The sequence below is a fragment of the Homo sapiens genome, chromosome 15, assembly GCF_000001405.40.
Source record: "Homo sapiens chromosome 15, GRCh38.p14 Primary Assembly".
NCBI lineage: Eukaryota > Metazoa > Chordata > Mammalia > Primates > Hominidae > Homo > Homo sapiens.
The window spans coordinates 61,909,215-61,923,538 of record NC_000015.10 but is presented as its reverse complement, the minus strand read 5'-3'; the positions used below and the strand labels follow the sequence as shown (position 1 = coordinate 61,923,538).

At 34.6% G+C, this 14,324-nt stretch overlaps 1 protein-coding gene across 9 annotated transcripts in view; it reads left to right on the top strand.

The window, feature by feature from the left end:
* The window catches only part of VPS13C (vacuolar protein sorting 13 homolog C), a 208,059-nt gene that overhangs the window by 136,909 nt on the left and 56,826 nt on the right, over window positions 1-14,324 (top strand). For 7 of the 9 annotated variants that reach the window (XR_007064464.1, NM_017684.5, NM_020821.3 and 4 more), the window contains 11 exons: window positions 777-1,142; window positions 1,506-1,592; window positions 2,892-3,041; window positions 3,208-3,472; window positions 4,090-4,250; window positions 5,282-5,403; window positions 5,904-6,198; window positions 7,517-7,906; window positions 10,124-10,228; window positions 11,535-11,699; window positions 13,234-13,362. Coding sequence is in view for 8 of the 9 variants with exons in the window: in NM_017684.5 (NP_060154.3) it covers window positions 777-1,142; window positions 1,506-1,592; window positions 2,892-3,041; window positions 3,208-3,472; window positions 4,090-4,250; window positions 5,282-5,403; window positions 5,904-6,198; window positions 7,517-7,906; window positions 10,124-10,228; window positions 11,535-11,699; window positions 13,234-13,362 (2,235 nt within the window). In the remaining variant the exon portion in view is untranslated. Of the gene's footprint in view, window positions 1-776; window positions 1,143-1,505; window positions 1,593-2,891; window positions 3,042-3,207; window positions 3,473-4,089; window positions 4,251-4,754; window positions 5,176-5,281; window positions 5,404-5,903; window positions 6,199-7,516; window positions 7,907-10,123; window positions 10,229-11,534; window positions 11,700-13,233; window positions 13,363-14,324 lie in introns of those variants that run through there. The other 2 variants (XM_047432742.1, XM_011521714.3) reach the window with 1 other exon arrangement.

Sequence of the window (14,324 nt, the reverse complement as noted above, 5' to 3'; positions counted from 1 at the left end):
CAATTTTATCTTGTGGGATAAAAAAATTATGGGAAGTTGATGAAGATTTTAAACATAAGAATGTCATACTCAGATTTGGTTTGTAGAAAAATTATGCTGGTGGCAGTGTGGAGTGTAGGCTGAGAGGGCGTTGGCCGTAGAAGATGTCATCAGTGTAGAACTAAGGCACAGTAATAGGAAGTGAGGGAAGTGAGCAAAGAAAGGCACTGTCCAAAGATAATAAGAGGTAGGATTTATAGATCTTGGGGTAAGTCAAAGGAGAGCTGTGATTTTGAGTCTTCCAGCTTTAATAAGGCAAATGTATATCTTTTTCTTCCTTTTTTTTTTTTTCAGAAGATCTTGTTGCATACCGATATTTATGTGTATCTTGACAAGGATCACACACTTTGGCTTAGTTAATGTAGCTGTTTTTAAAATGAAGAATTTGTTTACATTGCTATACTTGTCTATTCACATAACACTGTTTTGCTCTGAATTGATCAGCTTAACTTTAGATTTTGACTACTGACATATAACATTAGTTATTTAATTCCAGATAACCTGAGTAGAAGTCAGTGTTGCATGATTACTTGGCTTGACACATAATTTTGTGTTCTCTCTTGTTTTTCTTGGTTACGAATTTATTCAAAATTTAAATTAGTTACTTTAATTTAAAATTAAAATTTAATTTAAAAATGTCACTTATAATTAATGTATGTCACTTAAAATCATGTATGTATATATTCTCATCTGGGAAAGAATTTATTATAAATATTTTTCTGCTTTCTTTTTTAAAGATTTCACCCATAATTCTTAATACTGTGTTGACAATCATGGCTGCATTGTCTCCAAAAACAAAAGAAGATGGATCCAAAGATACGTCTAAGGAAATGGAAAATCTTTGGGGTATCAAATCGATTAATGATTATAACACTTGGTTTCTTGGTGTTGACACGGCAACAGAAATAACGGAAAGCTTCAAAGGCATTGAACATTCACTGATAGAGGAAAATTGTGGTGTTGTTGTAGAATCCATTCAAGTTACCTTAGAATGTGGCCTTGGACATCGAACTGTACCTTTATTATTGGCAGAGTCTAAGTTTTCAGGAAATATTAAAAATTGGACTTCTCTAATGGCTGCTGTTGCTGACGTGACACTACAGGTATGGCCACATCACTTAATACCTTCAGAGACTTCTTGAAAGTGCGATTTTGGAATTAAGATATACACTTTTCTTGTTTGTGCATGGCCACTATGAGTACATATGTGAATAGATAGTGTGTTCTGACATTTAATTTGTCGATGTATTGTTTTTTGATAATTATTTTTTAAAGATTGATTTGCTAAATAATTTATGACAATAGAGTAAGAGAGTAAAGGAAAATACACTCTATATATTGTTAGATGGGTTTTGAAAATGGCTAATGATATATAACATTGATTACTTAATAATTTCCCTATTGGTTACAGAAATATGTAATTAAAGCCAAAGGACTGTCTTATAATTTTGTGTGTATCTTTCCAGGTGCACTATTACAATGAGATCCATGCTGTCTGGGAGCCACTGATTGAGAGAGTGGAGGGGAAGAGACAATGGAATTTAAGGCTTGATGTAAGGAAATCTTAAAATATCTTTGGATAGAATGATACTATGCATATTCATTCATAGTTTTTATTTCAGTGATTCTTAAGATGTGGTCTAGGATCCTTGAAGCCCTTTTAAGGGCTCTGTCCATGAGGTCAGAACTCTTTTCATATGTCATTTTCATTCTCATTCTCTCACGAGTGTATAGTGGAGTTTTCCAGAGACTAATGAAGGTGATACTGCAACAGATTGAATGCAGAACAGAAACGAGAATTTATCTGTCTTCCCTTAAGGCAGGCAGTAAAGAGATATATGTGTATGTTCCTCTTCTCACTGTATTTTTAAAATAGTTATTTTTGATTAAAAATGTTATTTATATTAGCATGTAATTTTTATTTTTAAATGAATTTTTAATTTTTTTTCAGTTTTAATTGTTAATAGAGTACATATTGGTAGATAAAACATAAATGAAGCTCTTTAGTATACTCAGTGATTTTTAAGGGTGAGACCAGAATATTTGAGAATTGTTAATGAACTCTTGTGTGTTATCTTTTTATGTTGTTTTTTGAGAACACCTCAGAAACCTAGATACTGAAGCACATTTTTCTTGATTAAAAGGAACTTGAGTCATATATTGTTAAGAAATTGTCGTAGCATACTTCTTTGGGGCAGCCTTACTAAGGAGTCAGGCACTGAAACTGACTCCACATATTCTTTTGTTAAAGATGAGTCACTTAACCTGTGTTCCAATTTCCTCTCAATAAAGAAGTAATATTTTTCTGACCTGCCTTTCTCTGGCATAGGGAGGCTAACAAAGAATGTTTTACAAGGCTTTTGAAATACTACTAGAACAGAAGCTGATGGAATCTGATGGCTAGTTAAGTGTTTATTATATTAATATTACTTATTTGAAGGTGTTATTGGTTTAAAAAATAGAAGGAGAGAAACATTTCCAGGTGGCACCTCTAATAGGGATCAGTTTAGACTTCAGGGTCCTCTTAGATTGCTCGTCAACACATAATCACCAGTTGGGTGACACTGAATAAATAGCTATGCTCTGAGGAATGCATAAGAGACAAATATTGTAGCTGGCTTTGAGTAATTTCATGGCGTAATTCTAAACTTTTCCCCATGCTTGGACTATACCCTGAAAGAATGAATGCTGAACTCCATGAAATCAAAGTGAAGCATGGTATATTTTTGAAAATAAGACTTTTGCGAAGCATTACTATAAAGTGATCAGTTTAGGAGAACTGAACTCCAGCATTTTTATTTTATTATCAACTGGCTAATAATTTAAATTTGCTGTGTTATTTTTCTTCATAGGTAAAGAAGAACCCAGTTCAGGATAAAAGTTTGCTGCCAGGAGATGATTTTATTCCTGAGCCACAAATGGCAATTCATATTTCTTCAGGAAATACAATGAATATAACAATATCCAAAAGTTGTCTTAATGTTTTCAACAATTTAGCAAAAGTATGTCTGAATCTTGCTTAGAATATTTCAAGTGGAATTTTAAAATGAAACATATAATTTTTTTGTCATCAAAATTAGTTTCCAAAAAATGTGTAATTATGGTATAGGTTTTGGGAAGAATGTATGTTTTTCAAAAATTTTACTGTGATGATATGTTCCTTTTCAGGGTTTTTCAGAGGGCACTGCTTCTACTTTTGACTACTCTTTAAAGGACAGAGCTCCTTTTACGGTAAAAAATGCTGTAGGTGTTCCCATTAAGGTGAAGCCCAATTGTAATCTCAGAGTAATGGGCTTCCCTGAGAAAAGTGATATTTTTGATGTTGATGCTGGCCAGAATTTGGAACTGGAGTATGCCAGCATGGTACCTTCAAGTCAAGGGAACCTATCTATATTGAGCCGTCAAGAAAGCTCCTTCTTCACTCTGACCATTGGTAGGCTATATTTGTTTTCCTTAAGGGTATCTTAGCAGTTGTTGGTGTGGGCTTATTTTTGATAAAATGTGAAAAAACATTTTGCTGCAGATATCTGGAGATACAACATTTGAAACATATAATTGCTAACCTCTTGTTTCTTGTTTTCTAAACTTGAGAAAATTAAACTTTATTGATTTAAGAAAACTTTACAAAACTAGATTATTTTTGTGCCCTTAAATAATGTATATATTATATAATATATATAAATATTATATATATAATGTGTTTTTAAAAGGATAGGAGTTTACTGAGGAGAGAAAATAGCTATATTCAGAAGTCTTACAGTGTTGACACTGTGACAAAGAAAAAGATTGTTGCTATATGATTGAGAGAATAAGAAATAAGTTGGATTTTGTTTTTATATTCAAAACCCCAAGCAAAACTGTTTTCAGCCAAAAATTTTATAACAGTAACTGGTCTTCTTTTTAAGTTTATGTCTTAGAAAAGCAATTTGTGGTGATCATTTCTAGTGATGAGGAAAAATACTCTTCATTATTTTGAGGTACTAATGATTGTTATAGAGAAACATTGGCAAATTAATATTTGGAATTCTTTTCACTTATGCACTGCCTTAGTACCTCATGGATATACAGAAGTTGCAAATATCCCTGTGGCCAGACCTGGACGGCGATTGTATAATGTACGGAATCCCAATGCCAGTCATTCTGACTCTGTCTTGGTACAAATTGATGCAACTGAAGGGAATAAAGTAATTACCCTTCGCTCTCCTCTACAGGTAATACTTCAAAGTTAATTGTATCCCTTTCAGTGTACCAAGAAATGGTTAAATCATTTAGCTGAATATAGGAATACAGTAAAACTTCATCAGGTCAATTCTGATTATTCAGAAATAAATAGTAATTATTCAGAAATAAATAGTAACAGAAATGGCTTCTATTTACTGTCCAGCTTGCTCTGATAATATTTATTTTAAATGTCTGTAGTTTTGTTTACTTAAAGCTCATTTTTGTTTTCTGTCTTTTAAGACAAATGCAAAATTAATAAAGCTCTTTTGGTATATTCCTTTAAATATTCAGAACCGAGGATTATTGTAATTGTAGTTAGGAAACATTCCATTCTCTTTGTATGTCACTTGGATTATATTTTTCAAGATATGTATGAAGGCATATTGGAATGATCTATCCCTCTGAAAAACATTTTAGCATCTTAATCTGTGTAAATATTTTTTCTACTTTTAAGGTTTTATCCAACATTTTTCTTTTTCTGTGTATTACTACAGGTTTCAGCATATGGTCAACAAAAGAACATTTTTTTTCCTACCTGTAACATCAGATACAAATGAAAAGGTTTCAAATTTTGGACATTGTTATCTTATAGTTTGTTATTTGCTCCAATGCGTAACAGACTGATGTCAAGAAAAGAATTGTACTATTTTTCTCATGATTTTTTGCTATCCATTTCTGTTTAGTTGTTATACATGATACATTGAGAAAAGATTGTCATGGAGAAAAAATGGCTTAAATCTTCAGAGAATAATACATATTTGAAAGATAATATAGACTAATACTAAACATAAGCTTATAATATATGGAGCATTTGAATATCTCAGTTTTCAACTGACACTTAAACATTAAATTTAATATATATAGCACTTAAATACCCTAAAATTTTTCAATTGCCAATAAAAATATCTTCCAATACTGAGTTTGAAATTTTTTAGATCTAAAAGTATTTGTTTGTGGCTCTCATTTTTTCTTTCGAACTTACATATCTTTTAAAAAACTTGTATTTTTTTTTGTCCAACAGATCAAAAACCATTTCTCCATTGCATTTATCATCTATAAATTTGTTAAGAATGTTAAGCTATTGGAGCGCATTGGGATAGCCAGACCTGAAGAGGAGTTCCATGTTCCTTTAGATTCATATAGGTAGATACTTCTTAAATGTATTAAACTTTAAATGTATTGAGTTGGGGATTTATATTCTGGCAAATAACTTCATATTTTTATTAACTAAAGATCAGTAAAAGCCAGTTTTAAGACATAATTTAGTCTTCCATTGAGAAATACATTTATATTATCATTGAATTTATCAGGTGAAAATTCCTGACTGTATATTTGATGTCAGGATTTTTCTGACTATTTTTATTAGATTGCCTTTGTATTTGAAATGAAAATTTTTTTAAGTTGTCTTGTTTACAGAGTTGTTTTTTGTTTGTTTGTTCTTTTCAGAAAGTCCTCCGTAAGTTAGCTATGTGATTTTGGGTGAATTTCCTAACCTTTTTTTTAGCCCTGGTTTCCTCATCTGTATATCTGTAAAAACAGGAATAATAGCACCTATCTTGTAGAGTTGTCAGGAAGATTTAATGAGATGCTTTTTTTTAAGTTGTGGATCAAAACTTTATTGTCACTGTTTCCTCTTTCTGCAGATGTCAATTGTTTATCCAGCCAGCTGGAATCTTAGAGCATCAGTACAAAGAATCTACCACTTATATTTCCTGGAAGGAAGAACTTCATAGGAGCAGGGAAGTCAGATGCATGTTGCAGTGTCCATCAGTAGAAGTCAGCTTCTTACCTCTCATAGTGAATACAGTTGCTCTGCCTGATGAATTGAGCTACATATGTACACATGGGGAAGACTGGGATGTAGCTTACATTATTCATCTTTATCCTTCTCTCACTTTGCGGAATCTTCTCCCATATTCCCTAAGATATTTACTTGAGGTATGTCTCTTGCATTTTGTTTGATTTTTGTTGTTGCACAGAGTAAATTCTGATTTTGTTTTATGGTATTTTTAAGTGAGGTCAGTGTTTTATATAGCGTATGTGTAATGTGTAATGCCTTCATAATGTTAATGATAGCAAAAACTGGCATAACATTTACTATGTGCCAGGAACTGCTCTGTGTGCTTTACATGTATTAGCCTATTTACTCTTTATAATAACCTCCTGATGTAGGTACTATTATCAGGCCCATTTTACACATAAGAAAACTGAGTTGAAAATGGGTTAAGTGACTGGCTCAAGGTCCCATAGCTAGGAAGTGGTGGAGCTGGGATTTGAACCTAGGCAGTTTGGCTTTTTGATCCCTGCCTCTTTACTGTATCTTCCTTAAATTAAGAAGCATGATCGTCTGTTTATTAATTAAGTAAAATTCCATTAACTAAAAGATAGGAAAAAATGAGAAAATATTTCATCTTAAAGTTTTTATTTTAAAGTCAATATTATGATTGTTTCTTCAAGGTTCTATTGAAAATAAACCTTGGAAAATAAAAAAAATAATTACTGTCTGTCTTAAGAAGTAATAAAGATTTTCTAGTAATGGTATATGATAAATATTTTAAAATTTCTGTATGGCAGTATATTTTAAAATATGAAAATCTGGAAAGTGTTTGGAACCTACATGTTTTTTTATCTGACAATGAGCCATTCCTGAGTTGTGGAGACAAAAATTAATTAAATGAATTAAATAGTATTTATATGAGTATTTTATAAGAATTAAATAGTATTTATGTAAGGAGATTTTTAGTAAGGAAACATGGTTTATATGTTATTATTCATTTTTCAAATAATGCCACCTTACTTAGATAACTCGTCAGAGTAACTTTTTACTCTGACTAGTAAATAAGAATAATTTTCTTATTCCATTCATATGGGAACCATTAGTCATGGTCTATAATTAGAGGATAAAACTGAAGGCCAGGCAGTTAAGTGGCTCATTTAATGACATAGCTCTAATGGACAACAGCCAGGCTTCCTGAATCTAGTCTTTGACTCTTGATATAGACCTGATTTTTTCACAAAACTGATGGCTATTAGCCTCCTAATGGCCAAAGTCAGTTTCTGCCTGTGGCTATGGTGTAGCGTTTTCTTTTTAGTCCTTGGTGAGTACTGGACATTTGTAATATGTAAGCATGGTACTTCACAGAAGACTTAGCAGTTTACATGCATCTGGTAGTTTATTTAGCATTTGTGAAAAATAAGAATTTTGTTATTTCAGAGTTTTTAAAAAGTTACTCAGCGAATTTTTGTTTGTTTTTAGGGAACAGCAGAAACTCATGAGCTGGCAGAAGGCAGTACTGCTGATGTTCTGCATTCGAGAATCAGTGGTGAAATAATGGAATTAGTCCTGGTGAAATACCAGGGCAAAAACTGGAATGGACATTTCCGCATACGTGATACACTACCAGAATTCTTTCCTGTGTGTTTTTCTTCTGACTCCACAGAAGTGACGACAGTCGACCTGTCAGTCCACGTCAGGAGAATTGGCAGCCGGATGGTGCTGTCTGTCTTTAGTCCCTATTGGTTAATCAACAAGACTACCCGGGTTCTCCAGTATCGTTCAGAAGATATTCATGTGAAACATCCAGCTGATTTCAGGGATATTATTTTATTTTCTTTCAAGAAGAAGAACATTTTTACTAAAAATAAGGTGTGGTTTTGTTCACATAATAAGTTAAAGCAGATAAATTCCTAATCTAGAAACTTGGGAGTCATTTGTCTTCCCTAAAACCATGCTAACCTATTTGCTAAATGCCATTGGTGTGAATTAGGTTCAAGGAGACTTAAGCGTAATCAAGTGGGATGTTAGGAACTAATAGGTTTCCTGAGACTATGAGTTGCCCTTTTCTCCAATGCCTATAGAGTTACCTCTGTTCTTGAAGTAGTAGTAGTAGTAGTAGTAGTATAGTAGATAGAATAGCTTGAATTTATGTACTTTACCAGTGATGAAATGGCATTTCTAAAGATGTAACCATTGAATTTGGCATATATTAGTTGAGCCTTCCTATGTGTGAAGCACTCAGGCAGGCCTTTGGGAGAGAAACCTAATGCCTAAGCCTCATCCTTTATGCTCTGGTCTCTTCTTTCCTCTTCAGGCTCACATTTTGGTATCCCTCACCACACATTTCCCCAAGGACTCACCTCTAGGCTTTTGTATATGCTGCACCCTTTGCCTACAGTGCCTCTTCCCCTGTTTTTTTTCTGTCTTCTTCATCGTTCCTGATATCTGCTGTTCATCCTTTGGCATTCTGCTCAAGCCTGATATATATGAAGATTTTCTAACCATTTAAAATGGGCCTAGACATCCCATCCGTGTTTGTACAGGAGTAGTGGTTCTCAAATTTCAGTGTACATTATTAGAAACACCTAAAGGTTTTTTTTTTTTTTTTTTTTTTTTTTTTTTTAAGGCAGAGTTTTGGCCAGGCTCGGTGGCTTATGCCTGTAAATCCCAGCCAGCACTTTGCGAGGCTGAGGCTGGTGGATCACCTGAGGTCAGGAGTTTGAGACCAGCCTGGCCAACCTGGTGAAACCCCGTCTCTACTAAAAATACAAAAATTAGCTGGGCGTGGTGGCAGATGCCTGTAATCTCAGCTACTCGGGTGGCTGAGGCAGGAGAATCACTTGAACCCGGGAGGCAGAGGTTGCAGTCAGCTCTGCACTGCACCATTGCACTCCAGCCTGGGCGATAGAGTGAGACCCCATCTCAAAAAAAAGAAACATAGTTTTGTTCTTGTTGCCCAGGCTGGAGTGCAGTGGTGTGGTCTTGGCTCACTGCAACCTCCGCCTCCCGGGTTCAAGCGATTCTCCTGCCTCAACCTCCCAAGTAGCTAGGATTACAGGTGCCTGCCGCCACACAGTGCTAATTTTTGTATTTTTAGTAGAGATGGGATTTCACCATGTTGGCCAGTCTGGTCTCGAACTCCTGACCTTAGGTGATCTGCCAGCCTCGGCCTCTCAAAATGCTGGGATTACAGGTGTGAGCCACCACGCATGGCACCTGAAGGGTTTTAAACACTGATGGCTGGGTCCTGTCTGTAGAGTTTGATTCAGTAGGTCTGGGTATGGTTTGAGAATTTGCATTTCCAACAGGTGATGCTTTGGCAACTCCACTCTCTTTGAGTGTTGATTAACACATGGTATTGTAATTGCTTGTATATGTGTCTGACCTCTAGTTGTCCTCAAGTTTTTTACAAACTAATTGGGTGGGTGAAGGTGAGATTAATACAAGGGCACAATTTGATCTCTTCTATAAAACTTTATCTAAATCCCAGAACCAGAAGTAAACTATTTATCCTCTCACCTCTATAGCATTTTTTGCCTCTTGTATGGTTCTTATCCCATTGAGTCTTGTATCATAATTTTTCGTATGTATTTCCTAATCTCTCTGTCTAGTTGGAAGCTCATCGAAGACAGGAACTGTGTCCTGCTGTCTTCCATTCTGCCTGTCACAATGTCTTTAATGTAGTGTCTGCTGAACAATGTTGAAGACATAAATTCTCTTTATGCTAAGACTTTAAAAATTTGTTAGCTCTATGTCATAAGTCTATCACTGGAAAACATCGTTTTGCATTATAATTCTTTTTAAAAACAATACATAATCTCATTGGTATCTAGATTTACTATACTCATTGCATAGGTGAATGAGAAAGTCAGAACTTTCTCATTCAAACTTTCTCAGGAAGTTTTTGTTTTGTTGTTCCCTAGAGTTTTTTGTGGTTCTGTTACCTGTTTGCAATATGGCTTTGATTATATATTTCTGTGTCCCACGGTACTAAAGAAATTTCTAGTAGTCCAGCAACTTTCTCTCAAATAAAATTATTATAGTGTTTTAGATTTCTTATATGACGATATGTGCTCTCTGGTATAGGTACAATTAAAAATTTCAACCAGTGCCTGGTCCAGTAGTTTCTCATTGGATACAGTGGGAAGTTATGGGTGTGTGAAGTGTCCTGCCAACAATATGGAGTACCTGGTAAGATTCTGCTTCCTTATTTACCTTTGATTCCGTTCACCTTTGCTACAGTTCAACAAACAAGTTGGAATAAACATATGTGTGCATGTGTCTTTATAGCAGCATGATTTATAGTCCTTTGGGTATATACCCAGTAATGGGATGGCTGGGTCAAATGGTATTTCTAGTTCTAGATCCCTGAGGAATCGCCACACTGACTTCCACAATGGTTGAACTAGTTTACAGTCCCACCAACAGTGTAAAAGTGTTCCTATTTCTCCACATCCTCTCCAGCACCTGTTGTTTCCTGACTTTTTAATGATCGCCATTCTAACTGGTGTGAGATGGTATCTCATTGTGGTTTTGATTTGCATTTCTCTGATGGCCGGTGATGGTGAGCATTTTTTCATGTGTACTATCGCAAGGACAAAAAACCAAACACCGCATGTTCTCACTCATAGGTAGGAATTGAACAATGAGAACACATGGACACAGGAAGGGGAACATCACACTCTGGGGACTGTTTTGGGGTGGGGGGAGGGGGGAGGGATAGCATTAGGAGATATACCTAATGCTAAGTGACCAGTTAATGGGTGCAGCACACCAGCATGGTACATGTATACATATGTAACTAACCTGCACATTGTGCACATGTACCCTAAAACTTAAAGTATAATTAAAAAAAAAAAAACAAGTTGGCTCCTAAAGTGTACCGAAATTTGAATTTCAAGTGATAATGTGGAGGGCTGTTATCACTACAAATTTTTATGGTCACTGATACCAGAGCAAAACCTGAATTTGTCTAAGTTTAGGACATTGAGTTTAATCCATCCAGTTGAGCAACTTGGTAAATATTCACAGTATGCTAGAATCCTTATTCTGTACCACCCCTTGCCAGACATTTCTTAAATCTTAAATTTGACTAGTATGAAAATTTGAATAATATGATGCCAATTAACCTATTTTATTACTACTTCAAAATTTTTATTTTACTAATAGCAGATAACAAAGCCTGTACACTAATTATAAAGCAATTTATGTTTGGAATTTTAAAAAGTAAAGAATGCTAGACGTATTAAATCTGTCATTGTAAGTCGTTAGTTAAATTACTAATTGATATTTCTTGAATTGTTTCTGATGGAGCCAAACTAAGGAACTATAATTTTTTTCTCAGAAGATAATCTTTTGCAGAATGTAACTTATAGTTGCTTTATTTAAGAATTATTATTTTAAAATATTGTAAGAAGTTTGTGTGTGAATGAGGGGATGTGTATATATTTCAAAGACATTGAATAAACTGGAAAATAAGCTTTTTTCCTTTCCACAGGTTGGTGTTAGCATCAAAATGAGCAGTTTCAACCTTTCACGAATAGTTACCCTGACTCCCTTTTGTACCATTGCAAACAAGTCATCATTAGAACTAGAAGTTGGCGAGATTGCATCTGATGGCTCAATGCCAACTAATAAATGGAACTATATTGCTTCTTCAGAGGTAGCATTTTTCTTTGTTACAACTGATTCCTAAAATATACAAATAAATATTGACATCTAAATAAGAATTGTATATACCTCTTTTTCAGACTATCATATTTATGTGTTGAAATATGACAGCCAGCTTTGAAAGATTTTTCTCTTACTATATTTTTAAAAAAAGGAGAAAAGTTTTGATAATACACTAGCCCAGTCTAGATCATTAATAGTCTTTTTTCTAATTCTTCCTATATGTGTAGAACGTAGCTATGTACTGTAAAAAGTACATAGAGATTATGTACTGTGTGGTGTCTCCATAGTCAAGATAATGTCTCTATATTCAAGAAGCTATTATCTTAAAAGAGTCATAAAAGTCTGCATGTGGAGAGATAGCACATCCTAAGTTATAGGTGGTTATAGAATTTCTGAATAGGTGAGCTGGAAATTTCTTTGAAAATTAGCTAAAATTCTGCCCTCTCACTTTACTGAAAAGGAAACTGAGTTTCAGACTTTTCCAAGATTGATAAAGTCATTGGTAGTTGAAATCATGGTGTTATAGATCAAAAGATAAAAGTTTCACAGAAGAGGTGGGATTTGAACTAAGCTGTTCATGCTCAGTAAGATTAGAGGAGGTGAAGCAAATGGGGGAATGTGTGCCAGAAGAGGACAGGTGCAAAGATAAGCACTGGTGCTTGATCTTGACTGAATTTTCAACCAAACCAGCTGACTCTCAGGATAGTTGAAGGTCACTTTCTGCTGTTTAAAGAAAGATTCTAAAGTTACTTAAGAAATATTTGGCAAAAGACTCAAAAGGAAGGATTCCAATTACAATATAAATAAAGTTAGAGCCCTAAGAGCTGGTCTGTTCAAGGCACTTAGAATGATCTCCATAAACTCAGCAACAAGTAAGTGCTTATTTTTTTTTAATCTTTGTGTGGGTTTGATTATAGTAGTATTTTTTATTCAGAAATAGAATTTACTTAGTATTCTATAACAGAAGCACATTTTGTATTAGGAATGAAATCTTCAGTTTTATAAATAAAACTGAGGCTCAAAGAAGTAAGTATATGGTCTGATATCAAACAACTAGGAGGATGGTGTCAGAACTTCCAGCAAGGTCTGTGGTGTTCTCTCCTCTGCCTTCAGTTGTCTTTCTGGTTTATCTATGATTAAGATACTCTGTGAAAGAATTCATCATGTATTAATGAATTAAAATGGGTATACACAAAAGCAAATGATAATTTTTAAATATAATTTTTCAATAATTAAAATGAATTTTATAATTCTTAATCAACAGGCTCCTCAGTTTCTCATATTGCAATTATACCATAAATACATATAGACTAATATATCTGTATTCTCCTGATGTGATTTCTTTGGTTTCATGGTCATTATATTGTCAGTAATCTTACTATGAGATGTAGAGGACATATTTTTAGAAACTTCATAATAATTTAATCAAGATCAGAATCAGAATTGAAAATTTAATTAGGTAATGTCTTATTTATTATATAACGGTATTGTCTTAAGACTGATAATAACTTCTATATTTTTAGTGCCTTCCATTTTGGCCAGAAAGTTTGTCAGGCAAACTTTGTGTGAGAGTGGTGGGCTGTGAAGGATCTTCCAAACCATTCTTTTATAACCGACAGGATAATGGCACTTTATTGAGCTTAGAAGATCTGGTAAGTTTTCATATTTTATTTTATTTTTATTTTTATTTATTTAATTTTTTATTATACTTTAAGTTCTAGGGTACATGTGCAGAACGTGCAGGTTTGTTACATATGTATACATGTGCCATGTTGGTGTGCTGCACCCATTAACTTGTTATTTACATTAGGTATATCTCTTAATGCTATTCCTCCCCCCTCCCCCCACCCCACAACAGGCCCCAGTGTGTGATGTTCCCCTTCCTGTGTCCAAGTGTTCTCATTGTTCAATTCCCACCTATGAGTGAGAACATGCAGTGTTTGGTTTTTTGTCCTTGCCATAGTTTGCTGAGAATGATGGTTTCCAGCGGCGCTATTCACAATAGCAAAGACTTGGAACCAACTCAAATGTGCAACAATGATAGACTGGATTAAGAAAATGTGGCACATATACACCATGGAATACTATGCAGCCATAAAAAATGATGAGTTCATGTCCTTTGTAGGGACATAGATGAAGTTTTCATATTTTAAAATAAAATGTCTTTGATTTTTAAAATTTGCTTTGAGATATTTCAGTAAACCATGCTATCAAAATTTACTGGTAATTATTTGAAGGTGCTGCTATATCAATATATAATGCCAACATATATTTATAACAGATCAGAGCCAGTTTGCTTTTTAGTAAGAACTTAAGGAAACAGGCCGGGTGCAGAGGCTCACGCCTGTAATCCCAGCACTTTGGGAGGCCGAGGCGGGCTGATCACTAGGTCAGGAGTTCGAGACCAGCCTGGCCAATATGGTGAAACCCCATCTCTATTAAAAAGTACAAAAATTAGCTGGGCATGGTGGCACATGCCTGTAATCCCAGCTATTCGGAAGGCTGGGGCAGGAGAATTGGTTGAACCTGGGAGATGGAGGTTGCAGTAACCCGAGATGGCGCCACTGTACTCCAGCCTGGGTGACAGCAAGACTCTGTCTCGAAAAAAACCAAA